This window comes from Homo sapiens, chromosome X, assembly GCF_000001405.40.
Source record: "Homo sapiens chromosome X, GRCh38.p14 Primary Assembly".
NCBI classification, from domain to species: domain Eukaryota; kingdom Metazoa; phylum Chordata; class Mammalia; order Primates; family Hominidae; genus Homo; species Homo sapiens.
In genome coordinates this window covers 50,342,513-50,370,256 of record NC_000023.11, presented here as the reverse complement: position 1 = coordinate 50,370,256, position 27,744 = coordinate 50,342,513, and the positions used below count along the sequence as shown (strand labels likewise).

Genomic DNA, 27,744 nt, shown 5'->3' with positions numbered 1-27,744 from the left:
TGAGAGAAAGTGATATGGACACTGGTAAGGGGAGAACCTGTGTGGTCTCCATAACATATACAGAAAACAAAAATGCAAACAGGCGGTGATTTTTCTGCCTGATTCACTCCTAAGGGTCAGGAACAGGTTCTGTGGCCTATCTAAACACTTTTGTTCCTGTTATAGTAAGTGGTAGAAAAGCAACATATCTGTATATTTTATTGTTTGAATTTTGGTTCCATTTCTTCTTTCTTCAGAATTGGCCTTAAGCACTATTGACATATCAGTAGGATTCAAAAGAAGGTTCTCTTAGAGTTTTCAGTTGTGCCAATTCTGATGTAAATGGTGGTCCCTCCTAAATTTTGGTCCTAGACAACCTGGAAGCTTGAGAGATGCAGTAATAGTGGACATGGAAAAAAAAGGAACAGGTTCACACCTGTAATCCCAACACTTTGGAAGGCCGAGGCAGGCAGACTGTTTGAGCCCAGGAGTTCAAGACCAGCCTGGGCAACGTGGTGGGACCCTGCTGTCTCTACAAAAAATAAAAAATTAATAGGGCATGATGGTGTGCGTTTGTAGTCCTAGCTACTTGGGAGGCTGAGGTGGGAGGATTGCTTGAGCCTGGGAGGCTGAGGCTGCAGAGAGCTGTCATCATGCCACTGCTCTTCAGCTTGGGCAATAGAGTGAGACCTCATCTTGAAAGAAAGAGGAAGGAGGGAAGGAGGGAGGCAGGGAGGGGGAAGGAAGGAAGGAAGGAGGGAGAAAAAAAGAGGAAGAATAAAGAAAGGACGGAAGGAGAAAGAAAGGGAGCGAAATGAAAGAAAGAAGGAAAGAAAGAAAAAAAAGAAAAAAAGAAAGGGACAGAGGGTAGCAGTTTGTTTTCAAGGAACTAAGAGTTTGCACGAATGCCAAGAGAGAATCTCTTGGATCGAGCTGTATTTTCTCAGGTATGGTCGAACTGGTTTGATTCCTTAAGAGTCTGTCAATTGGGAGACAATAGTGTTTGCAAATATTTCTAAAGACTCTGACAGAGTCAATATCAGTTCCATAAATTATCAGGTTCTGAAAATTCATCCCATTTGTCTTTAGCTCACTTGGTTTCAGCTGGTTTTCCCTGATGATTCAGAGATGGTTAGTACAATAGGAACAAACCAGTCTATCTTCTAACAGACTTTTTGCTCTCTTTTGGGTCCACATACTTGGGCATCTGGCATTGTGCTAACCTCATTATTTCTATACCATTTTTTTTCCTCTGAAGGCAATTTATGGCACCGCAGACATCGTGAAGATGAAGCAGAGGGTGATGATCCTCTAACACCATCGAGATCTCAACTGTAGCCCTTGAAAGCTGGAAGAACTCACAACATTGAGAATTCTACTAAAAAAACTCTCAAAACCTCAATACAGGCTAGACTAAATCATTTCAGAACAAACATGAGCACCACCAAGAAAGACCCTCCAATTCTTTTCACTAATGCATTTTCCTGGACTTAATCTGGTCTCCTTAGAGGTTTACATTTCCTCATTGGCCAAAGGTTCTTGTTCCGAGTTGTCTTGTTCAGTTCTCCTTCTCTTTGTGCATCTTGAGCAACTACAGTATTTATTGGGATAAGCTCTTTATGAATGGCCTGGGATCTATAAAGGATTCAAGGGAGTTCACCTCTTCAGGGAGTTTTGGAATGGTTTTCTCTGACCAGCAGAGAAACTATCAATGCTAAGGAATGAATGAAAGACACACAGACTCCCAGGGAGATGAAGAGAAGGGGGCAGGCAGGACAGCCAGACTTGGTTGTGTGTCTCTCCGAATCCCTGCCAACTGCAACTTGCACCTTCAGGAGATCTCTTCTAGTTGGCTCATTAAAATGAGAACTAGATCCTGGGGGCTTGTCCACTTTCCTGTTAAGATGACCATGTGAAATCTCTTTTTGTAGATATGGTAACCTCTCTCTCTCTCTGCAAACCCTTTGCGTTTTTCTATGTGTGCTTGTATGTCTGCATATGTCCAGGTGGTGCTCTGGTGGGCTCATTGGTTGGAACTCACCCCTCATGGCAACCATACAGGCTCCCCTCCTGCTGCCTTGATCCTAGCCTGCATGCCTCCACGGAGTGTTTGCCTGCATTCTTGCTGGATTTTTTAACTAAATGTTTTGCCGCTGTGCTGCAGTATAGATTATGTATAGAGACATAAAGATGTATATATATATACATACGCATATATATTTTTAAGAGCTGAAAATACAACTCGACCTCTAAGTGACCCTATAATTTATTGTGCTAATCCAGGAATCCCTTCCCACTCCCCCTTACTCTACATAACAATAACACATACACCTCTACCAACTGCCCTATTTCTTGGTGGAGCTTCTAAATCTTTTGGTGCATTTTCAGCGTCTTAGAGGTGGCTGGGATCTATGGCCCAGCTGATTCTGACGCCCCCTTAAAATTCTGAGCCAGGCCATGGAAAGGGGAACAAAAACACCAATGCCCTAAAGAAGGGGTTTAAGCTGGCATGCTGCCTTTTTTTGCTCTATCTGTCCTAGACTCTTCATCAGCAACTGTGCCCTTCCCCAATAAAAAGACTATATGGAGCAACCAGGCCTTGAGCTCTGTGACTTAGATGCCTGAACTAGGGACTGCCTGACAATTAAGTCACAGCCTAGGCCCTTCCCCACAAGCTCCATCTTGGCCTGATCTTCTGGACAGGCTGTTGGGTCAGTCCTCAAGTCACCTTCAAATCTCCCATCTTGCCCTTTTCCCTTGAGTACAGAGGGGCATTGAAGTGATCAGAAAAAACATGGGCCTGGAGAAATGAAGGCTAGAAGCCTGTGCTTTCCTGTGGTTCTTCTTGCAAATTTCTCATGAAAACAAACTATTCCTAAATCGCTCCAAATACTAATTCACATTTTTCAAAAATGCCTTCTCCCAGTCAGGGCAAATCTAATCAAACCCCAATGCCCAGAGAGGTTCTCTCTGGTCAGCCTTGCATCTTCACCCCACCCTTGACTCATACCTTTAGTTAACTGTCCCTTCCCACTTATCAAGAGAAAACTGGCCTCTCCCTACTTCTCAGACAAACTTAGCGTGCTCAATTACCTGATTCAGTCCAATGGCTGGTTCATTGAGGTGCACAATTCAGATTCCAAGCACTGGTTCTCAACTCTGGAACTCCACCAGCCTAACCCACTTAAACCAGCCACCTGTGCTCCACCTCCGCAGGGGTGAGGAGAAAAATATTAACAAGGGGATAGTCCCCAAATGTCTGATTGCTGTGCCAAACTAAGTCCTAGCTCTACAACTAGAGAAGAAAGTCAATGGAAAAAGATGACAGAAAACATTTAAAACTTATTTAAGCATCAGAATGTGTTAGCTTGTTGTACATATTTGAGTAGTGAGTGTGCTGTTGTTGTGTCTTTGACTTTCTCTGTTATTAGTCTTTCTTCCCAGGAGGAGGTATTAGATGAAATCAGCAAGCTCACTATTGCAGCCTGACTTGGCTCCTCTATGGCTGCATGCATTGACACCTGCACACACACTCACAGAGTGGGAACCAAGTTGCATTTTCTTCAGAAGAGCTTTTTCCGAAGGGGAAAATGTCCAAATGAGCAAATTTAGGACTACAGAAGGAAGTCCTGGGAGAAGATAGCTTTATCTTGGCAGTGACTAAGCAGGGCTGTGTCTTATAATTATTTTTATCACTGATGATAGTAAACTGTAATAAGACTCCATCTCTTGTGCTTACTTTGCTGCAATAATTAGGTCTTTGTGCACAGTGATGCTGCTGTTGCTCTGTTGTGCCATGTGGATTCCCTTTCACCTACCCTGTCCTCCCACTCTGAGTCAGAATGATATTGACTGAAACCACTAGTATTTGGGGCTAGAGTCAGCTCATGGAGCACAGTTGATAGATGACAAGGCCCAGGAGCAGGTGTGGCTTGCTCAATCCCTCAGTTACCTCCTAAATTGCTAAGTTACCAGTAGTTTCCCAAAAAGGAAGATAGCTTGCCAAGCACCTGTTCTTGCATATGCTCACTTGGAAACAAAGCAAGAAGTGATGCCTCAAGGGAGTTGTCTTAGCTCTGGGAGTGTGAGCTCCTTTAAGGACTTTGTTAACCACTTGCAGTAATTAATACAATTGCTTGGGTGGTGGGACCAAACACCAAATATCCATCTCAATTATGTTCAGACATCATTAAGACCCAAAGCTCTAGGGTTTGGTTGTATCTTTGGTAGCACTTTCTGACGAATTGGTTGGGTAGGCAATTCCTGGCCAGAAGAATAGTGGAGAAGAAAAAGCCGATACATTTGAACTGCCACCAACTGCTTCTGGTGTCAATACTATAGGAGGTAAACAGTTATGGGTCCCCTTCTCCAGAAAGGCCCTGTGCTGTGTCCATAAGAGCAGGTTAAGAATAAGAAAGAGATTTTTTACCTTAATAAAACTGGGCCAGAAGAAACAGTCAGGGTCAACGTCATCTTCCCTCAGGACACAAATGGAAGAATTTTTCTTTCACGAGAGGTGGAAAATAATACCAAAGCAACCAAACCCATTAGCACCATTCCATCCTATATGAGACCTTGCTTGGCTATATGATTTGTGGAATTGCATTTGTCTATTTGTCAGTGAATCTGTAACCCATTGTTGTTTTCTGCTCTGTGTTTTTTATTTCCTCAGAGGCCCCTGCAAATAAGCAGCAGGGCCAGGGGCTGGTTGGGGGAGGAAGCTGGGGTATTTACATGGTAACAGGAAAAAGCAGAAAAAAAAGATCCACAAAGTGTGCCTATTCCTCTCCCCCCGCCAAATGGAACACCAGTCCTCAATGTTAATAAAGTATTGCTTCTTTAAATATTTTAATAAATGGATAAACATAATCAATGCCGTGCCTCATCATTTACCTCAGCATAAAGGGAGTTGAATGGTGGTGGAAATGGGGGGCAGGTGGGCTTGGGTGGCCATCCAAGCTCTAAACAAGCCACATGCAGGTCACGATGGCAGGTGAGGGAGGACAGCAACAGCGCAAACCAAGAATCTCCATCAGGGATGATCATGATACTAAAGGGGTTGCCAAGAAGAACTCTAAAACCTAGCTGCGACTCTGGATGATCCTGTGGGGAAATACATGCCACTGTAATTGCTCCAGGAGCTAATTCTCTGCAGGATACAAATCTCAGTGGAATGCATTAGTTACTGGGGAGGCAAAGTGGGATAGAGTGTAGTCCAGACTGTTAAATAAATGCATAAGGCACCTTGAAATCTGACAATACAATCTATTCCCCCCAATGCATACATCATACACTCCTCTCCTCTCCAGAGGGGTTTGAGGTGGGAAGCCATATTCTGTTCAAATGCAAAATCAGTTCGGCTGAGCATTCAATACAGTTTAATTTCTGTCACACTAATAGTGACCCCAGGGGAGCCAGTTCTTAGTCGTGTTTAATAGGTAGGGAACTGAGGCTATACTAGGCCAGGATTCCACAACATGCTACACCAGAGTGAGAACTTGAGTCTTCTAAATCCTTGATTTTCCAAACTGAAAAGTGTCTTATTTAGAGACAAAACATTTGTGACCTTCGGGACCACATTTCAGTCTACCCCCAAAACTACATTCTTAGGCTTTATGAGGGGAAACAGCCCTGTTGTTGAGGCGCTACCACCGGGGTGGGCCCTGTAATCCATATTAAGAAGTCTGTACTGCACCCTGTAGGCTAGTGAAGCACCATCAGAATTGAATTTTAAGTCTATTTTTCAAATGATCATACAATTGCCCTTTACTTTTGGTGTAGAGCTCCATGAATTTTAACACATGTAGACATTCATGTAACCACCACCACTATCAGGATACAGAACAGTTTCCAGTGCCCCAGAAATCTCCTTTATTTCTTTATAATCACACCTTAACCCTATTTCTAACCACTGATCTATTTTACATCACTATGGTTTTGGGCTTTCAAGAATGTCATAGAATATGTAACCTTTTGGGACAGACTTCTTTAATTCAGCAAAATGCCTTTCATATTCTTTCAAGATGTCATGTGAATCAACAGTTTGTTCCTTTTAATTGCTGAATAGAATTCAATTACATGGATCCACCAGTTTATCCATTCATCCACTGGAGGTCCTTTGGGTGGTTTCCAGTTTCTTTGACCCATGGATTAAAGGTATGTTATTTCCAAGTGTTTGAAGATTTTACTATTGTTTATCTGTTATTCATTTCTAGTTTAATTCCACTGTGGCCAAAGAACACACTCTGTGATTTCTATTGTTTTTAATTGGTTAAAACTTGTTTTATGGCCTAGGATATGGTCTATCTTGGAGAATGTCCCATGTGCACTTGAGAAGAATGTGTATTCTGCCGTTTGTTTGGTAAAGTGTTCTATAAACATCAGTTGGATTCAGTTGGCTAATGGTGTTCATTTCTTCAATATCTTTTCTGATTTTCTGTCTGCTAGCTTCCGTCAATTACTGAAACTATAATTATGGATTTGTTCATTTCTTGTTTCAATTCTATCAATTTTTGCTTCTAGTATTTTGAAACTGTTATTAGGACACATTTAGGATTGCTGCCTTCTTGGTGAATTGACACTATCAATATATAACATCACTATTCCTAACACTTTGCAGTGAAGTCAACTTTGTCTGATGTTAATATAGCCACTCCAGCCTTCTTTTGGTTTTCAAGTGGCATTTGTTTTCAGCCTTTTACTTTTAACCAACCTATATCATCATATTTGATGTGAGTTTTTGTAGGCAGCATGTGGTCATGCTTTTTTAATCCATCCTGACAATATGTCTTTTCATTTGTATGTTTAGACCATTCAATGTAATTACTGATAAGACTGGATTGGGGTTTGCCATTTTAAAATTTTCTGTTTGGTCTCTGGTTTTTTTTTCCTTCTCTGTTTCTCTTTTCCTGCTTTTTTTTTTAAGATTATTTGAACTTTTGGTATTCCATTTTATCTATTGTGGCTCTGACATCTCTCTGTGTAATTTTTTTAGTAGTTGCTCCAGGGATAACAAAATATATACTTTTCACAGTCTACTTAGAATCAACATTTTACCACTTCAATTGCAATGTAAAAACCCTACCAGCATATTGAGCCCTTTGTTCTCTCCACTTTATGCTATTACTGTCTTATGTACTACATTTACATACATCGAAAATCCCATCAAAATGTAATTTTTGCTTTTAATCAACAAATATGTTTTACAAAACTTAAGAAAAGAGTAGTTTATTATATTTAGCCAGATACCAGTTCTGTTGCTCTTCCTTCATTCCGGATGTTCCAATTTCTCTTCTGGTATTTCTTTTTTTTTTTTTTAATTTGTATTAATTTATGGGGTGCAAGTGCAATTTTGTTACAAGCATAGATAGTGCAGTGGTCAAGTTGGGGATTTTAGTGTATCCATCAACCAAATAATGTACATTGTACCCAAGTATTTTTTCATCATCCCACCCTTCCGAGTCTCCACTATCTATCATTCCACTTTCTATGTCCATCATTTCATTTCTATATGAAGAAATTCCTTTAAAAATTATTTTACAGCAGATACGCTTGCTGTGAATTTTCTTAGTTTTCCTTTGTCTGAAATTGTGTTTTAAGTTTTACCTTCATTCCTGAAAGTTATTTTTTGCTAGATACTGAATTCTGGATTGATCATTCTTTCAACACTTGAAAAATTTTGTTTCTTCCTTCTGGTCTACAGAGTTTCTGATGATAAATCTATAGTCATTCAAATTGTTGTTCCTCTATGCAGTACATAATGCATCATTTCTGTTTTTCTTAGTCTTTTTCAGCAGTTTGACTATGATTTATCTATTTATGGGTTTTATTTATCCTGTTGAGGTTCACTTGTTTTCTTAAACCTACAGGTTGGTGTCTTTAACCAAACTTGAGAACTTTTCAGCCATTGTTTCTTCAAAGATTTTTTTCTGCACTGTTCTCTTTCTCCTCTCCTCCTAGGGCTCTAATAGCATGACTGATAGACCTTTTGTTATTGTCCTACAAGTCCCTGAGGCATTGTTCATTTTTTTTTTCAATCTTTTTTCTGTCACATTGCATAATTTCTATTTATCTACCTTCAACTTTACTCTTTCCTTTGTCCTCTCTCGAGTCCACACAGTGAGGTCTTAAGTTTCAGTTACTGTATTTTTCAATCCTAAAATGTCCATTTGGCTCTTCTAATTCCTATTTGATGAGACTCTATAGCTTAACATTTATATTTTAACATTTGTTCCAAAAGTGTTTGCAATTGTTCATTTGAGTTTTTATGGTAGCAGACTTAAAGACTTTGTCAGATAATTCCAACACCTTTATCTTTTTGTCCTTGCTGTTGTCTTTTGCCATGCAAGTTGAGATGTCAATGGTTCTTCATATGCCTAGTAATTCTGGAGTATATCCTGGATAAACATTATAAAATTGTAGAACTGGTTTAAATTTTATGGAAAATGTATGTTTGCTTTTGCAGTCAATCTGATTAGGTTCAGGCCACAGGTTTCCACCTGCCTTCTGTGGGCTGAGGGTCCAACCTCAGTTTTCAAAGCCTTTGCAGTGCTATCTGGATCTGTCTGCTGTGCATGTCATGAAATGGTCAGTCTAGAACCTAGATGAGTGTCTGTCAGCTCAGTTCTCAAATTCTTAGTATGCTAATTAGGATCTGGATCAACACACATACAGGTTGAGGATACACACCAAAGAGCACATTAAAAAAAACTTTATGGGGTCACTTTCCTGAGCTCCTACTTCTCCACATTCTCCCCAGTACTCCCCAGTTCCTAGTACTTCCCTTTCCGTCCGCTAGTCAGAAATTGTTCATGTCTGCAATTGTGCCACATCTGGAGATAAGCAGTGGGAGAACAGAAAGAGAAAAAAAATCAACAGAATGTGGCTTTGCTCTCTTGGGGCCCCAACTCTACCTCAAATAGAGATTATGGGTCCATTCCCTGAGAGTACTGGTTCTCGAAGGCTCCCATTGCTATCATTGTTGCTGATGCTGTATGATTGCCTGAGGGTTGGGGTGTGAGGGAAGAGAGAAATAAAAAGATGGGGATTTCCACCTCCCCAACCCCAAGCTTTAGGAATTCCTTCTCTCACTTCTCAAGCCAGAACTAGAAAGCTTCTTCTGGAGCTTTCTGTCTGTACCATAGTGCTCCCTTCAAGGTTTCTGACTGGATTAAGTTGCCAGAGAAAAAAATGTGGGAAACTCGCCATGAGTTGCCATGCGTTCTTTCTGGGTTTTATGATCATGTTCAGTGGGAAACAAAGGGTAACAGATGCTTAAATATCTTACCCAGAACTGTAATCCTAAAATTGAATTTTAAATAAATCTTTCTGGTGCTTGTATGGAAGGTGAATTTGAAAGGAACAAGATTGAAGATAGGGACATCAGGTGGGAAACTACCACAGTAATCCAGGCAGTAGAATGAGATCTCAAACCTGGGTAGTGGTAGGAGAGAATATGATGAGAATGCCAATCCAAGAAATATCTGGGAGGTAAAATCAGCAAGACTTAATGATGGCACCCTCTTATAAGGCCATAATTGACACATGGAAGTCTAAGACATGAGTGGTCAGCCTTTAAGTTAGGAATTGAAGGTAAAAAATCAGTATGATTGAATAAGAGTTATTAGGGAGGGAAAAGAGAGCCTAGATGAACTCCTGAGTGTCTGGTTTGGGTGACTAAGTGGATGGTGATAAAGATACAGAATATAAAATATAGAACCATGTTAGCAGAAAGAAAAAATTCAGTTTTGGACATGTTTAGTTTGAGGTAACTGTGTGACATTCAGGTAGACATGGCCAACAGAAGATAAATATAAGCCTGAACCTAGGACCACAGGTTTGAGCTGAAGACCAAGCCTCAAAAGTTAATGGCTTGGTGGTACTTGAAACTATGGGAGTAGCTGAGATCACTCAAGGAGATAAATCAGAGAGCCAAAGCTGAAACTAACAGAACACCAACTTTTGAGGGGCAGATGGTACAAAAACAGCCTACAAAGAGGATAGTAAAGGAAGGTCAGAAAGATGAGAGAACTACAAAAATCTAATGGCCCAGAAACCAAGAGGCTAGAGAGTGCCAAAAGGAATGAAAAGACACCAGTGTCAAAGGTAGCAAAAGGGTTCCAGTAAGATAAAGCTCAAAACTGTCGACTAGATTTGCCAACCAGAAAATCATCAATGTTTCTGTGACAGGCCCATCAATGAAGTGCTAGGGGACAAAAGCTACATTACAACGGGTTAAAGGACTGAATGGAACATGAGTTAAGTAGAAACAGTGAGTCAGTGTACTTTAAAAAGAAGTTTAGTACAAAGAAGAGATGAACTGGACAGCAGGTGGGAGGTGGATGCAGATAAAGAGTTTTATTTTGGCCAAGCACAGTGGCTCACGCCTATAATCCCAGCACTTTGGGAGCCTGAGGTGGGTGGATCACCTGAGGTCAGGAGTTCGAGACCAGCCTGGCCAACATGGTGAAACCCCATCTCTACTAAAAATAAAAACAAAAAATTAGCTGGGTGTGGTGGCATGCACCTGTAATCCCAGCTACCTGGGAGGTTGAGGCAAGAGAATCGCTTGAACCTGGGAGGTGGAGGTTGCAGTGAGCTGAGATTGTGCCACTGCACTCCAGCCTGGGCGACAGAGCGGGACTCCATCTCGAAAAAAAAAAATGGGGGGTTTTGTTTTGTTTTGCTTTTCATTTTGTATGCATGTAGCAAGAGTGTCTTGAGCATGTTTTTAAGCTAGAAATGAAGATTACAAAAGAGGAAGAAGATGAAAGTACAGGAAATGGTGGCAGGGAAAAACAAGGGAAGGGCTAAGACGACAGAGAAAAATTGAGGGAGAAAAGTCCCAAGGTAGTTGAGTTGCCTTGAACAGTAGGTGGGTCTGTCCAACCTTTAAAACAGAAAATAAAGATACTTGAGATAGGTGAAGAGGTAAATATGTTTGTGGGGAATGAAGTAGGTAATTGAAAGTGATCCAAGACTGATGGCTCAATCAAAAAATACTTAGAATATACTTAGGAAAAGAAGTACAAAACTTATATACTGAAAACTACAAAAAAACTGTTGAAACGAACTAAACACGACCCAAATAAAAGGAAAGATATCCATGTTCATAGAGAGCAAGATTTAAGATGGTTAAGATGAAAATACTCCCCAAATTGACCTATGAGTTAAATGTAAGCCCTATCAAAAATCCCAGTGAACTTCTTTTCAGCAACTGACATGTTGATGCTAAAATTCATATGGAAATGCAAGGGACCCAGAATTGCCAAAATAAACTTGAAAAGGAAAGGATCAAAAAATTGGAGGACTCATATCTTTTTTTTTTTTTAATTTTAAAACTTACTACAAAGCTACAGCAATATAATTTTTGTTTGTCATTGTTTTTAATATTTAAAGAATTACAGTACTGGCATAAGGCTAGATATCACATAGGTAAATGGAATAAAACTGAGAATCCAGAAATAAGCTCTCATATTTAATTTAATTTTCAACAAGGGTATCAAAATAATTATGTGGGGGAAACATAGTTTTTTTCAACAAATAGTGCTGAAACAACCAAATATCCATATGCAAAAGAATGAAGTTGCAACCCTACATACCATATATAAAAATTAACTTAAAATGAATTTAAAACCTAAACATAAGAGCTAAACCTACACAATTCTTAGAAGAAAACAGGGATAAATCTTCAAGACCTTGGATCAGGTGATGGTTTCTTAGCTATGACACCAAAAGTAAAAACATTTAAAAATGGATAAATTGAACTTCATCAAAATTTGAAACTTAATATGCTTTAAATAACACTATGAAGAAAGTAAAACTTTCAAGACAATTGGTATAATCAAATATTGCCAAATCATATATATGACCCAGAATATATTTTTAAAAAACTCTTACCACTCAATAATAGACAAATAACCCAATTAAAAATGTGCAAACAGGAGCTTGAGACCAGTCTGGGCAACATAGCAAGACCTCATCTCTACTAAAAATAACAATTAAAAAAATTAGTTGGGTGTGGTCGCAAGTGACTGTAGTCCCAGCTACTCAGGAGAATGAGGTAAGAAAATCCCTTAAGCCAAGGAGATTGAGCCTGCAGTGAGTCATGTTTGTGCCACTGCACTCCAGCCTGGGCAACAGAGCAAGACTCTGTTTCAAAAAAAAAAATATGGGCAAAGGATTTGAATAGATATTTCTCTAAAAAGGATACACAAATGGCCAATATGCACATGAGAATATGCTCAACATAATTAGCCATCAGGGAAATGTAAATCAAAATCACAAGATATCACTTTACACCCACTAGGAGGGCTATAGTAGAAATATAATAACAAGTGTTGGAGAGGGTGTGGAGAAACTGGAATCCTCACATACTGCTTATGGGAATGTAAAATGGTACAGCCACTTTGGAAGAGTATAGAGGTTTCTCAAGTTAAACTAGAGTTATTGCATGATCCAGCAATTCTACTCCCAAGTATATACCTGAAAGAAATGAAAACTGAGGCCCACACACTTATACATGAATGTTCATAGCAGAATTATTCCCAACAGCCAAAAAGTGGAAAAACCCAAATTTCTACCAACCAATGACTGGATAAACACAATGTATATATGTCCATACAATGGTATATTACTCAGCAATAAAAGGAAGTACTGATACATGCTACAACATGGATGAACCTTGAAAACATTATGCTATGTGAAAGAAGCCAGACACAAAGGCCACCTATTGTATGGTACAATTTATATGAAATGTCCAGAATAGGCAAACTGATAGAGAGAGAAAGTAAATTGGTGGTTACCTAGGGCTCATGGGGTGTGGGGAAAGGAGATTGATTGCTAACAGGCTGGAAGTTTAATTTGAGGGGTGATGAAAATGTTCCAAAATTAGATTGTGGTGATGATTACAAAACTTTTTTTTTTTTCTTAGAGACAGAATCTGGCTCTGTCACCCAGGCTGGAGTACAGTGGCACAATCTCGGCTCACTGCAGCCTCTGCCTCCTGGGTTCAAGCAGCCTCCACCTCCTGGGTTCAAGCGATTCTCCTGCCTCAGCCTCCTGAGTAGCTGGGATTACAGGCATGCACCACCATGCCCGGCTAAGTTTTGTATTTTTAGTAAAGATGAGGTTTCACCATGTTGGCCAGGCTGGTCTCAAACTTGTGACCTCAAGTGATCTGCCCGCCTCGGCCTCCCAACGTGCTGGGATTACAGGCATCAGCCACCATGCCCAACCACAAAACTGAATATACTGAAAACTTGAATTACACACTTTTTAATTTTTTTAATATTTTTAAATTTTTTGTAGAAACAGGGTCTTACTATGCTGCCCAGGCTGATCTTGAACTCCTGGGTCCAAGCAATCCTCCTACCTCAGTCTCCCAAAGTGTTGGGATTACAGGCATGAGCCACCATGCCCGGCCTGAATTATACACTTTAAGTGGGTGAATTGTATGGTATGTGTAAACCCTGAAGACTCGTCCAAAAAACTCCTAGATCTGATAAATGAATTCAGTAAAGTTTCAGGATACAAAATCAGTGTACACAAATCAACAGCACTGCTATACACCAACAACGACCATGCTGAGAATCAAATCAAGAACTCAATCCCTTATACAACAGCTGTAAAAAATAAAAATAAAACACTTAGGAATACACTTAACCAGGGAGGTGAAAGACCTCTACAAGGAAAACTACAAAACACTGCTGAAAGAAATCATAGATGACTCAAACAAATGGAAACACATCCCATGCTCACAGATGGGTAAAATCAATACTGTAAAAATAACCATACTGCCAAAAGCAACCTACAGATTCAATGCAATTCCCATCAAAATACCACCATCATTCTTCACAGGACTAGAAAACACAATCCTAAAATTCATATGGAACCAAAAAAGAGCCCGCATAGCCAAAGCAAGACTAAGCAAAAAGAACAAATCTGGAGGCATCACATTACTTGACTTCAAACCATACTATAAGGGTATAGTTACCAAAACAGGATGGTACTGGTATAAAAATAGGCACATAGACCAATGGAACAGAATAGAGAACCCAGAAATAAAGCCAAATATGTACAGCCAACTGATCTTCAACAAAGCAAACAAAAACAAAGTGGAAAAAGAAAACCCTATTCAACAAATGGTGTTGGGATAATTGGCAAGCCACATGTAGAAGAATAAAACATATCTCACCTTAAACAAAAATCAACTCACGATGGATCAGAGACTTACATCTAAGACCTGAAACCATAAAAATTCTAGAAGTTAACATCAGAAAAACTCTTCTAGACATTGCTTAGGCAAATAATTCATGACCAAGAACCAAAAAGCAAATGCAACAAAAACAAAAATAAATAAATGGGACCTAATTAAACTAAAAAGCTACTGCACAGCAAAAGAAATAATCAGCAGAGTAAACAGACAACCCATAGAGTGGGAAAAAATATTCACAAACTACACATCTGACAAAAGGACTAATATCCAGAATCTACAAGGAACTCAAATCAGCAAGAAAAAAACAATCCCATCAAAAAGTAGGCAAAGGACATGAATAGACAATTCTCAAAAGAAGATATACAAATGGCTAACAAACATATGGAAAAATGTTCAACATTGCTAATTATCAGGGAAATACACATAAAATCACAATGAGATACCACCTTAATCCAAAAAAGTCAAAAAATAATAGATGCGGGTGTGGATGTGGTGAAAAAGGAACACCTTTACACTGCTGGTGGGAATGTAAACTAGTACAACCATTATGGAAAACAGCGTGGAGATTCCTTAAAGAACTAAAAGTAGAACTAACATTTAATTCAGTGATCCCACTACTGGGTATGCACGCAAAGGAAAAGAAGTCATTATATGAAAAACACACTTGCACACGCATGTTTATAGCAGCATAATTCACAATTGCAAAAATATGGAACCAACCTAAATGCCCATCAACCAATGAGTAGACAAGGAAAATGTGGTATATATACACCATGGACTACTACTCAGCCATAAAAGGGAAAAAAATAATGGCATTTACAGCAACTTGGATGGAGCTGGAGAAAAATGGAGACCATTTTTCTAAGTGAAGTAACTCAGGAATGGAAAACCAAATATCATATGTTCTCACTTATAAGTGGGAGCTAAACTATTAGAATGCAAAGGCATAAGAATTATATAATGGACTTTGGGGACTTGGGGGGAAGGATGGGACTGGGTGAGGGATAAAAGACTACCCATATAGGGTACAGTGTATACTGCTTAGGTAATAGGTGCACCAAAATCTCAGAAATCACCACTAAATAACTTGTCCATGTAACAAAAAACCACCTGTTCCCCAAAAACTATTAAAATATGAAGAAGCCAGGCTATTTCCTTTCTCACTCTGCCTCCAGCAATAGGTCTGGCAGTAACTTTGTCTCCTTCCCAGCTCCAGCCTCCTTTCATCAGCCCTACCCTCATTGGTCCCAACTGATCACTGGTTCCAAATCCAGCTTGATATCCCTGGCATCTGGGGGTCTGGTGACACCACCTCTTGGCTACTGTTCCTCCAGCCCTAAGTATAACAGAAGCTTCACACTGTGTGTGTGACTTCTTAGCTCTTCTGTCCTTAAGTAACCAATTCCCAGCATTAAATTTCCTCTGTTCGAAATAACTAGAGTGGTTTCTGTTTTCTGACTGAACCTTGATGGATACATCTCCAAAATCAAAACTCTTAGTATAAAAACCTTCAACATACCATATAAGCCTTATTATTATTATTATTATTTTTGAGACGGAGTTTCGCGCTGTCACCCAGGCTGGAGTGAGTGGCATGATCTCAGCTCACTGCAACCTCTGCCTCCCGGGTTCAAGTGATTCTCCTGCCTCAGCCTCCCAAGTTGCTGGGACTACAGGTGCCTGCCACCACACCCAGCTAACTTTTTGTATTTTTAGTAGAGATGGGGTTTCACCATATTGGCCAGGCTGGTCTTAAACTCCTGACCTTGTGATCTGCCCGTCTCAGCCTCCCAAAGTGCTGGGATTACAGGAGTGAGCCACGGTGCCCAGCCAGGCCTTTTTCTTTAAAACAAACAAACAAACAAACAGTCTCACCCCTACTTACCTCTGTAGCCACTCTGTGCCCCTTCCTCTACCAGAGAGTACCACCACCATTTATTAGATATTCATGCTATGTGTCAGGCATTTTTCTAAGCATGTCACATTATTTCACAGGCTATGTTTGTTTTACTTATGAATTACCAGGCACATTTCTCTACCAGAGTGTTTTTATGACCTATATAGATGATTTTGTAGTTTAAACTTTTAGAATTTTTTAGTTTTGTTTTTTAAACTGTTATGATCTTAAAGATATAGGGAGACATAAAGTTATATATACATATATAAAGTAATTTGCATTCAGTTAAGAAAATAAAACTGTTAAAAATACATAAGGTTACAAAGAAAGCTAGTTTTATTCATATATAGAGAGACAGTCATCAAAATATAAAAGCAAATTCTTTTTTTTTTTAAGCAGGGTCTTGCTCTATTGCCCAGGCTGGAGTACAGTGGCACGATCATGGCTTACTGCAACATCTGCCTTCTGGGCTCAAGTGATCCTCCTGCCTCAGCCTCCTGAGTAGCTGGGACCACAGGCATAAGCCACTATGCCTGGCTAACTTTTTAACTTTTTGTAGACACAGGGTCTCACTGTATTGCCCAGGTGGGTCTCAAATTCCTGGGCTGAAGTGATCTTCCTGCCTTGGCCTCCCTAAGTTTTGGGACAACAGGCGTGAGCCACCTCACTGGGCCAGCAAATTCCTGATAAAGAATAGATGTGCTTCTTTAATAAGGCACTAAATATTAGGTTGGTGCAAAAGTTATCGTGGTTTTTGCCATTAAAAGGAAAGGCAAAAACCACGATAACTTTTGCACCCACTTCTAACAAGCTCCAGTTCTAACAGCTATCTTAATTTTGAAGTAGTGATGAGTGTGTGCAAAATAAATGTTGAGGCATTGCAAAATCAACAACAAAAATGACTGATGGTTTCATTAGCACCTTTAAAGAACAGGGTTGGTAAAAAGGGGGAAACAATTCAATTGGTTAATTTTTTCCCCTTGATGTAAAGCTCCAGAATTCAAAAGCAGGTACAAGACACATCCTTTTAGTAAGGCTGGAGATTTGCAAGATGGCTTCCAGCCTAATGCTTTTAGCATGTTCATGCAAAGTTGGCTGTGCCAGCAGAACCACTGCTGAGTAGCTTGGACCTCTCTGGCTGTACCCCTTAGTCATCTTGCAATACAGTGGAATGGGGCAGGAGGAAACCTAGTGATGTCTGGTCTCCAAGGCAAAGCAAGTCAGGAGGAAGAATGGGAAACTGATTGGAAGGGAAGGAAAGCACTGAGACACCTAAGGGCTTGGCATGCTCATCCATCTGTCTCTAACCCATCAGAAAAGGTGATGTAATTACAATAGCATGGAGAGTCTTGGGACAGAATTGAAGAGGCATTTTCCCCATAACTGCTTCCTTGATTGTCCTCTCCACCAAATGTCCACCCTCCAGGACTGATATTCAAAATATTTGACAAGTGGTAACAAATGGTCACAGACCAATCAGGATAATTGCCAGCTACAATACTAGAATAGAGTCCTAGAGGTCTCCTGCTGTGGTAGACATTACTTGCTGGATTGTGGGGAGGTCCTGGGGTGAGACTGAGGCAGTAGCTCTTGAACAACTGGCATACTGGATGTTCCACTCCTCCATTAACAACTTAAGTAACTGTCCCAGTACACATCACCCCAAAGGTAGGGCAGAGTGAAAAAGAAAGGAGAATCTCTTAATGCTATATGAATTAAAGACTGGGCAAGTGGTTGATGCTTGCATTCATGGGACACCTTGCCAATTTCAAAGGTAGGAATTTCTTCTCCTGGCAGAAGACAAGGGCCAAAAATGATTTCAGCACATACCACTCCAAGAGTATTTTCAAATTTGTACTCTAAAAAGCTGCCTAACTGAAAGCAAGGCTACATTTGGATTAAAATCCTGATCCCCAACTTTTCACCATCTAGGAAGAAGCAAAGAAAGCATAATACCTGAGATTGAGACCAAAAGGTATTAGCCTACACTGCCAGCTGCCCAGCTCTGAAAAGTGAGGTCTACCTGTCAGGTAAGGAGCTTTCTCCTTGGACTGGGCACCATAATCCTCCTTCTGTAGACCCATCTATCAGTTCATGGTTAGCTCAATTCCTCTTCCCATGAGGAGAAGACTTCTAAACAGAGGAGGGAATTGGGTAATCTAGGCTCTGGGGCCCAGCCTTGACTAGGAAGAAAAAAAAAATTATTGAGCTGTGCATGGGGCTCCTGAACAATAAGAGGGGAAATGAGCCATTTTAACAATAACCATTAATTTTTTATTAAATTTGTAGTCAAATATGACAATATTTTTTCTTTCATAAAAACAAGCAACATAAATATTTATAACATTATCAGTTTGGGAAAAGACAAAGAAAGGAAAAATGAATAAAAGCGATCAAAAGACAAATTCGAACATAGAATAAATATACCCTGTTAACATGCATGCTTAGCCCTGTGGCTGCTGCTAGAGTACCAGGCCCTGAGCCTCACAATCACAGTTCAAAATCTCCTCCAGCTTCAACATATCCAAGGCAGGGATTTTGGCGACTTCAAAGAAGACCCTGCAAAAGGAAGAGGGGTCTCCTCAGCATAGAATAGGGCAAATACAATCATGCTCTATGGAACAAGTGGGACATACAGCCCTTAGTTTCCTATCTTGCTTTAACCCTAGAGTAGAAAGGAAGGTGAAAAGTGCCTGAATCTTTTTCTCTTAAGTGAGGCTAGTCTCGGTCTAGTATTTTAAAGCCTCCCAATAAATGAACACAAACCCAACCTCATCCGGGGCTTAGTACTTACGGGTGAGAATACTTGTAATACACAGCCTTGAGACTATCGTAAGAACTGAAAGTCAGCAGTTTGTTCAGCTGTCTGACCAAGGGGTGAAGCTCAGAGATACTGTAGCCACTGTAATGCTCCAGGAAGGGAACCTGGAAGAAGCAGCATGAATAGTGATTTCTACTATAGGAAGCACACCGTTCCTCCATCTCTGCTATCCCAAGTCTAAGCTTCCCACACATGGTTTAAACAGAGATGACATTCAAAACATTTCAAAGACTCACACCATCTGGACGCTGATCAATAATTATACTATGCTATATAGAAGAATAGATTCCAGCCACAAACTACTGGGATGGCTATATCCATACGTACCAGTTAGATATTAGCTCTTGGCCAGGCGTGGTAGGGATCATGCCTGTAATCTCAGCATATTAGGAGCCCGAGGCAGGAGGACTGCTTGAGCCCAGGAATTCAAGACCAGTCTGGGCAACACAGCAAGACCCTATCTCTTTTAAAAAAATTTTAAATTATCTGGGCATGGTGGTGTAGACCTGTAGTCCCAGCTACTCGGGAGGCTGAGGCAGGAGGATTGCTTGAGCCCAGGAGTTCGAGGCTGCAGTGAACTATGATCGCACCACTGCACTCCAGCCTGGGTAACAGAGCAAGACCCTATCTCTTAAAAAAAAAAAAAAGATATTAGCCCTGGTCACAGATGTTCATGTAAGCAGAAATTCACCAGTCCTAAGGAACGGGACTGATTTTGTAATTTGCTCACTCTCAGGTCCAGAGCTAATGGCCAGGTAAACCCCAGAACAAAGTTTAGGTGCCAACTCCACAGCCAACATGAACTTAAGGCTGATCCTCCTCTCTGGCTCTAACAGCTATCATTCCACAGGTTCATTTTCTCACTCAGCTAAGAATGCCTATTATGTGGCAGAAGCGGTATAGCAGTGTTTAAGAGCAGAGGTCCTGGAGGCAAAATGCTTCAGGTCAAATTTCAGTTCCCCTAACAGCTTGGCCTTGAGCCAGTTAATTAACCTCTTGGGACCTCAGTTTCCCAATCTGCCAAATGGGGATTATTACGGTAATTCCATCATAGGGTTAAATGTGTGTGTGTGTGTGTGTGTGTGTGTGTGTGTGTATTTGTGTATGTGTGTATCATACATAGAACAGAGTCTGGAACATAGTAAGTATCCAAACAATGCTAACTAGGATTACCAAGCCCTATATGTAGGATCCTGGGAACACAAAAATGAATGAGGGACCTGCCCTTGAGGAGTCTGTAGTCTAGTAGAGGAGACAGATGTGCAAACAGCGAGTTAAAAAATGTGTGATAAGTGCTATAATGGAAGTGAGCATAGGACACTGGAGGAACACAGCAGCAGGACCCACGAACTCTGTCAGGAGAGTCACAGAAAGCTTCACAGAGGACAGCATGTCCACAATGGTTGGTTAAGTGGGGAGCTCAACAGACAGAGAAAGGAAGAGGATTTATAAGTCAGTGGTTTCCTCAAAATGTCTTATTTTCCTTGAACTCCTCTTTTTCAAGTGTCTTACCTGGAAGCCCAAATAGCTTACCTGGAAGTGGGGGTGTGAGCTAAGAAGCCCACAAATTTGGATCCCTTTATCTTTTACATGGTCCCTGAGAGAATTCTGCAGGAAACCCAGGGCTCCCCCAAATACTGTTTGGAAACCACCACCACCACCGGCAAAGGGCCGTCATTGGCGTGCTGAGTAGGGGAGTAACACAAGGGGGTAATGGAGTAGACTGGATGTGTTAAATAAGACTAAAAGGCCCCAGTGCCACTGTGTCAGTTCAGACCCTCAAATGCTTCACCTTGACTATGTTACAATAGCCTGCTCACTGGTGTTCCCACCTTTATATTCTCTCTCATTTACTCTACCTTCTCTTTTGCTATACCAGTACTGTTTCTAAAATACACAAACAGGAGCATGTCACCTCCCTGCCTAAAAACCCTTCAATGCCTTAGTGTAAAGTGGGTCTCTCAGCGTGGTATACAAAGCCTTTCTTTCACAATCTGACCATGATCTACCATTCTGGTCTCATCTGTCACTATTAACATCATTAGCACCTCTCCTTTTACCATATTCTCTGTTCTATCCATAGGGGATGTCTTATTCTGCCCTAAACACAACACACTCCCTCCTTAATGCCTTCACGTCTTTTTAATTACTGCTCCCTCTACCTAGAATGTCTCCTCTCACAAGTTCCTGCATACGTTTCAAGACCCAGCTCAAAAGTCACCTCTTCTGTGAAGCCTTCCTTATCTATAGGAGAGGCAGTATACTAACATAGAGGATTGTGGAGTCAGACTACCTGAGTTCAGATTCGGGCTGACATTTAGCTGATATGCCCTGGTTTAGTCACCAAGTGTGAAAACACTGAAATATTTCTATCTTAGTTGGCACACAGTTTGCTTGCCTGAACCCATCAGCTGTCCCCCTCACGGCCCACTGGATTTCCATGGGATCCAAGGGTCAAAGCCTGGTTCAGCATGGGGCCTCCAGACCCTCAGCTCCAGAGCTGTGGCCACGCCCATTCTGATTACACAGTTGGTTTGGATTGTGAACACCACTCCTAGTTTCCAAAGCCTAGCTCCACCTCTCATCAGCTGTGTAAACATGGGAGTTATTTCTTATCTGCAAAACAGGGATAACGGTACTATCATGTGGGGTTGTTGTGGAGATTAAATGAGTTAATACACAAAGTGCTTAGATCACTGTCTAAACACTCAATAAATGCCAGTCATGATTATTATTTATTCTTTTTCATCATCACTATCATTTATTGAATGCTTTCTCTGTTTCAAGAAATTTCAGTATGGCTTCTCCAAGTTCACATAACTACTTTATGTGGTTCTTTCTCAGCCCACAGAGGTTCTTCCCTCAGTGGCTCCAGGATTTTTAGGTAGGAGGAGCTCAGAAGTGGTTGAGCAGAGGGGCTGCATTTGCAAGCATACTCCTGCTACTTGGATTATATATTATACATATCATTAGTAAGAATGCGAAATTATCTAAAGTTGATTTTACCCCCAACTTTTCATAAAATTGAGAAAGCATCAAATATGAGTTTTATTTGTATTGGAGCAGGAGGCTTTGAGAGCCTTCTTCAGAGAAGAACACTATAGTCATGCCCCTGAGTGCCACTTTTGTAGACACAGACAGTTGCTTTCACTACTCTTCTCTGGCTCAGTGCTTTTCAAACCCTGTTCCAACAAGCTGCCTCAGGGGCCAGTCTTGCTGAGGGGATTGCAAGAGGCAAGAGGGGAACAGGGCTGGGGATAAGAAGTAGGGTCACACTACCCCATATGACAACCAGAATACCTTCACAGTAGTCTGGTATGTAATATTGGGCTTTCAGGTGAGCTTTCTTTGGAACAAAGGGTACTTTGATTATGAAAAATGGCATAATTCAAAACCATTGCTGTAGAAGCCCTTGCCCCAAGTTGTCCAGGTGTTAGAGTTCACAGTGGTGAATATGTGTCAGTTTTGTCCCCAAGAGTTTCCCGTGGCCTTAATTTACACCTTCCCCATGAGCTGACCTTCTGCTTTTTAAATCTCTACCCCTATACCCCTATCTCGCAAGTGTTTACCCAGTATCCGAGCTTCTTCATGTAGAGGGCCAGGAGTAAGGAGGCAGCAGCTAGCTTGGAAGCCTTCTCCTGGACATAGTGGTATTCCTGCAGGGTCATCTCGCAGATGTAGCGGGACAAGGTCAGTGTCTTCATGTTGGTGTGGATACACTAAAGGCAATGAGAAGACTGGCTCAGAAATCAATTTAGAAAACTGGCACCAAGCAGAGGACTCCCTCTCCAGTTACATCATCCCGAGCCTCAGTGGCCCTCTGTTTGAGTAATGTGCCTTTCTCCTGCAACCGTAACTCACTTCATCTTCCCTACCCACAAAAACAGACTCTTTAGGGGGGATTCTGAAACAGTCAGTGGGATTTGCCACCTTTAGGATTTTAATCAAATTACCAACTGTGTGTATGGTACTGGCCCACATCCCCCCTTGCTATATGGGTCATTCTTTAAAGAGCCAAAGTCCTCCCACCGTGACTCTGTTCCTGGTCCTCCCTAGAAGGTGTTCCATACCTCAAAACAACCTTTTCCCTTTTCTTATTTAAACTTATTTTTTAAAAATTACAACCTATCACACACACAAAGAGAAAAGTACATCGCACTCATTTGCACAATACAATGAATTATAAAGTGACCTCCCTTGTAACCAATACTCAGGCAAAGAATGAGAATATTGCCAGCATCCCCCCACAAAGTTTTCCATGTGTCTCTCCCTGATAAAAGAAACGTTTCTCCTCCCCAACTCTGGCCTCACTTCAAAACCTTATAGGCACACTGTGGAAATCTGCAACTCACCCCCACCCACCTCCCACTATTTCATAAAGATTGCCAAGCTTTAACCTAGGAGATTGGATGGAAGGAGAAAGCTCCCTGCTGCCTGTTGTCCCTTTCCCCTTTCCTACCACTCAAGGCAGCTACTCTGGGTATAAAGGAGACTAACTCAGCAGTGGGAGAATGAAGATGTGTCTCTTCTCTCTTACCCTAGCATATCTGCGCAGAAAATGGTAGGCGATGGGAATGTTAATGTCACATTTGAGGACGTTCAGGATGTTGATTTCCATGCTGAGTACCTCAGATCGCTGATAATTATCATCACAGATGTACACAAAGTCATCCACACGAGGTGAGTTGTGCTCCTATGGGTGGAGAGGAGAGGAGGTGACAACCAGACAGACAACCCAACCTTTCTGCTTAGAGGTAAAAGTCAGCAGGGAGAAGGGTGAAGGATTTCCTGGCATAAATCTTCAGGGTATCTCTGAGACTCAGCTTCTGGTTGATGTGAGTGGCTCATCAGAAAAAGTAAACCAAAGAAAGGACAGGAGAGGCCTGCCCCAAAACTGTACCACCACCACCACCAGATAGAGGATAGGACCTCCTGGGGGTGGATTCTTACAGTGCCAGAAGCAACATAATGGGGGCACAGGGCCTAGGAGCAGCCATCTGCCCTCTGAGAACCACGAATGTTGAAATCTAAGGCCTTCTCTGGAGGGAGGGACAGAAGGAAGCCACAGAAATGGGAGCTAGAGATAGAAAATAAGCCTGTATTTTGTGTCCTAGTGTAGGGAATGAGTAAGGATGTTTGAGGAGGGCAATACAGGGTACCTGGCAGTGAGAGAAGTGGAGAGGCAGACAGGCATAGAGGGAACCTAAGCAGAGACAAAAGTCTGTGGTGGGCAGAGTGTGCGGAGGCACCCAGAGGTCAGACAAGGAAGGGCCAGGCCAGGCTGAGGGTGAGAAGAACCTCTGTCCAGGGAGCACCTTCCAGGGCTCTGCCCTCTGGAGGTCAAACATTGGTTTGGAGAAACAATGAGGACACAGGAAGGCCCCTAATTCTTCTCCCTACCTGCAGCTTACTGCCCGCAACAGCTTTCTTCCCCCACCTTTCCCCTATTTTTGGATGACAGACAGGACCAACCCTTTGGTTTGGCAGACAAGGAAACCTAGGCTCAGAGAAAAGTGATGTGCTCAGGTTCACACGGCAAGCTAGTGGCAACACCAGGGCAGGAACCTCTCTCTTCCGCTGCTCTGTGCAATGGCTACTGTCTCCTTTCTCTCCTCATGCCATCTCCACACCTCCCCTAAACAAAAGGCTTTCTGTACTTCTTAATCCTGTGAGAGGAAGACACCCCTCCTCCATGGACTTGGTAGGGGCCCTCTGTCCTGGCCAACAGAGGAAGGGTGCTCCAACTCCCAGGATTTGCTAAGAAGTACCCAGAGTAAAAAAGGAAGGGAGAGAGTGGGCAAGGAAGAAAAAGAGGGAGCCTGGGAGGGAAGGACAGAGCCTGGGAGGGAAGAAAGCAGGTGAGGGAGGGAGAGAGCAGGTGAGGGAGCAAGGGAAAGAGAGGAAAGGAGAGAGCAAGCCACCGAGGGAGGGAGGGTGTAGACTAGCCAGGGAGAGAGGAATCTATCCACCAAGTGAGAGAGGGAGCCTGGGAAGGAAGCAAGGAGGGAAGGAAAGAGGGAGCCAGCAGGTGAGGGAGGGAGAGAGGAAACAAGGGAAGGAGTGAGCAAGGGAGGAAAAGCAGGAGGAAGGGAGGAGGGAGCAAGCAAGCTGGCACAGGACGAAGGGACAGAGTGAGGGAGGGCTCAAGTGAGCAGGTGAGTGAGGGGCAACAAAGGAGAGTGGGGTGGTGAGTGAGGGAAAACAATCACTGAAGGGCAGGTGACAGGGAAAGAAGGAGGGGAGGAAGGGAGCAAGTTAAGGAGGGAGAGAGTGAGGCAGGGAGGGAGGGAGGGGGTAAGAGCCAGTATGTGTTTGGGGAGGAGAGGAAGGCAGGAGCTGGGGAGGGAGCCAACACAGAAACAAACCCACAGTTCTAAAGTTCTTTGAAATCCTTGGTAAAAGTTGCCAACTCTCTGCTCCCAAACCCTAAGGCTTCCTACAACTAGCCTAGCTGAAGGAAAAATGAAAGTTGAACAAGATCAGTTAGCACCTAAGGAAGGGGAATCAGAGAGGTTAGTTAGATGGATTATGGTCATGAAGAAAAGGTCAGCTACTCACTTTTATACTGCTACTTCCCAAATTACTATTTCACCTGGACCATTTAGACTCACTGCCATCAACATCACGCCATTTTCTCTTAAATGTCTCCAGCACCCTGGTTAGGCAATGCTTTGTTATATAAGCAGATTGAGACTCCACTAGATGGGGATGGAGTTGGTGGAACAAGAAAATGGTGGAGGCAGAGAATCATGGAGCAGAAGGAAGCTGTAAAAAGAACTGCCCATTTAATTAGTTGGATGCCCACATAATACATCTTCAGACAGAAAATGGAAGAACCTTGTTGATGCCAGGAAACAAATACACCACCATTGCCAACCAACACCAGCTTCTCTGCTTTGGGAAGAGGGACAAAAAATGCGGCAGAAAAAAATTATTTGTATGTATGTAACTGTATGCACACACATATACACACTGATGTGTATGCACATGTGTATATATGTACAAATAAATGTATGTATACACAGTTATGTGTCACTTAACAAGAGGGATATGTTAAGAGAAATGCATCATTTTCATCATTGTGAGAAGATCACAGATAAGAGTGTACCTCCAAAAACCTAGATGGTACAGCCTACACACCCAGGTTATATGGTATATAGCCTATTGCTCCTAGGCTACACACCTATGCACATGTGACTCTACTGAATTCTGTAGGCAATTGTAAAACAATGGTATTTGTTTAGGCTATCTAAACAGAAAAAGTACAGTAACAATACAGCATAAAAGATTTAAAACCAGTACACTTGTATTGGGCACTTAACATGAATGGAGCTTGTGGGAGTAGAAGTTGCTCTGGGTGAGTCAGTGTGTGAGTGAATGGAAGGCCTGGGACATTCCTGTACACTACCATAGACTTTATAAACACTGTACCTGTACAATTAGGCGACACTAAATTCATAAAAAATATTTTTTCTTCGATAATAAATTAACCTTAGCTTACTGTAACTTTATTTTGTAAAACTTTGACTCTTTTGTAATAACAGCTTAAAACACAAACACAGTATAAAGCTGTATAAAAATATTTGCTTTCTTTATATCCTTATTAAATAAGCTTTCTTCTTTAAAAAAAATTTCTTTTGAGACAGGGTCTTGTTCTCTCACCCAGACTGGAATACAGTGGCTTGAACAAAGCTCACTACAGCCTCAACCTCCTGGGCTCAAGGGATCCTCCTGCCTCAGCATCCTATGTAGCTGGGACCACAGGTATGTGCCACAATACCCAGCTAATCTGCTTTATTTTTTTGTAGAGATGGGGTCTCACTTTGTTCCCCAAGCTGGTCTTAAATTCTTGGGCTCAAGCAATCCTCTTGCCTTAGCCTCCCCAAGTGCTGGGATTACAGGCATTGAAATACCATGCCCGGCTTTACTTTTTACTTTTTAAACTTTTTTATTAAAAATGAAGACACATACCTAATGCTAAATGACGAGTTAATGGGTGCAGTACACCAACATGGCACATGTATACATATGTAACAAACCTGCACATTGTGCACATGTACCCTAAAACTTAAAGTATAATAATAATAATAAAATAAAAAAAAATGAAGACACAAACACACACATTAGCCTAGGCCTAGAAAGGGTCAAGATCATTAATATCACTGTCTTCCACCTCCACATCTTGTCCCATTGGAAGTTCTTCAGGGGTCATAATATGCATGGAGCTGTCATCTCCTACAACAATGCCTTCTTCTGGAAAACCTCCCGAAGGACATCCTGAGGCTATTTTACAGTTAACTTTATTTTTTTTAAATAAGTAATAGTATACTCTAAACCAGGTCAGGCACAGTGGCTCACACTTGTAATCCCAGTGCTTTGGGAGGCCAAGGCAGGAGGATTGCTTGAGGTCGGGAGTTCAAGACCAGCCTGGGCAACATGAGACCCCACCCCTACAAAAAAATTTCTGGAAATTAGCCAGGCACTGTGGTGCATGCCTATAGTCCTAGCTACTTGAGAGGCTGTAGTGGGAAGATTGCTTGAGCCCAGGAGTTTGAGGTTATGGTGAGCTATGATCACATCATTGCACTCCGGCCTGGGCAACAGAGCGAGACCTTGTCTCTAATAAAATAATAATAAAACAATTAAAAGTACAGTGAACACATAAACTAGTAACAGTTTATATCATTATCAAGCATTATGTACTGTACGTAATTGTATGTGCTATACTTTTATGACTTGCAGTGCAATAGGTTTGTTTACACCAGCATCACCATATGAGTTATCTTTTGTAACATTACAATGTTACAAAAGATAAGATGTCACTAGGTGATA

At 41.5% G+C, this 27,744-nt stretch overlaps 2 protein-coding genes across 11 annotated transcripts in view; one reads left to right on the top strand and one right to left on the bottom strand.

Moving 5' to 3' along the window:
• DGKK (diacylglycerol kinase kappa) overlaps nt 1–4,848 on the top strand; it is a 105,417-nt gene extending 100,569 nt beyond the window's left edge. Inside the window, exon 28 of the mRNA NM_001013742.4 lies at nt 1,238–4,848. Coding sequence (NP_001013764.1) covers nt 1,238–1,317 — 80 coding nt within the window. The 3' untranslated portion in view covers nt 1,318–4,848. The remainder of the gene's footprint in view (nt 1–1,237) is intronic.
• CCNB3 (cyclin B3) overlaps nt 18,343–27,744 on the bottom strand; it is a 149,202-nt gene continuing 139,800 nt past the window's right edge. For all 10 annotated transcript variants that reach the window (XM_017029915.1, XM_047442599.1, XM_047442600.1 and 7 more), the window contains 4 exons: nt 23,450–23,605; nt 22,482–22,631; nt 18,886–19,016; nt 18,343–18,650 (listed from right to left, as the gene is read on the bottom strand). In XM_017029915.1, the coding sequence (XP_016885404.1) occupies nt 18,554–18,650; nt 18,886–19,016; nt 22,482–22,631; nt 23,450–23,605 (534 nt within the window). In that variant the 3' untranslated portion in view covers nt 18,343–18,553. The remainder of the gene's footprint in view (nt 18,651–18,885; nt 19,017–22,481; nt 22,632–23,449; nt 23,606–27,744) is intronic.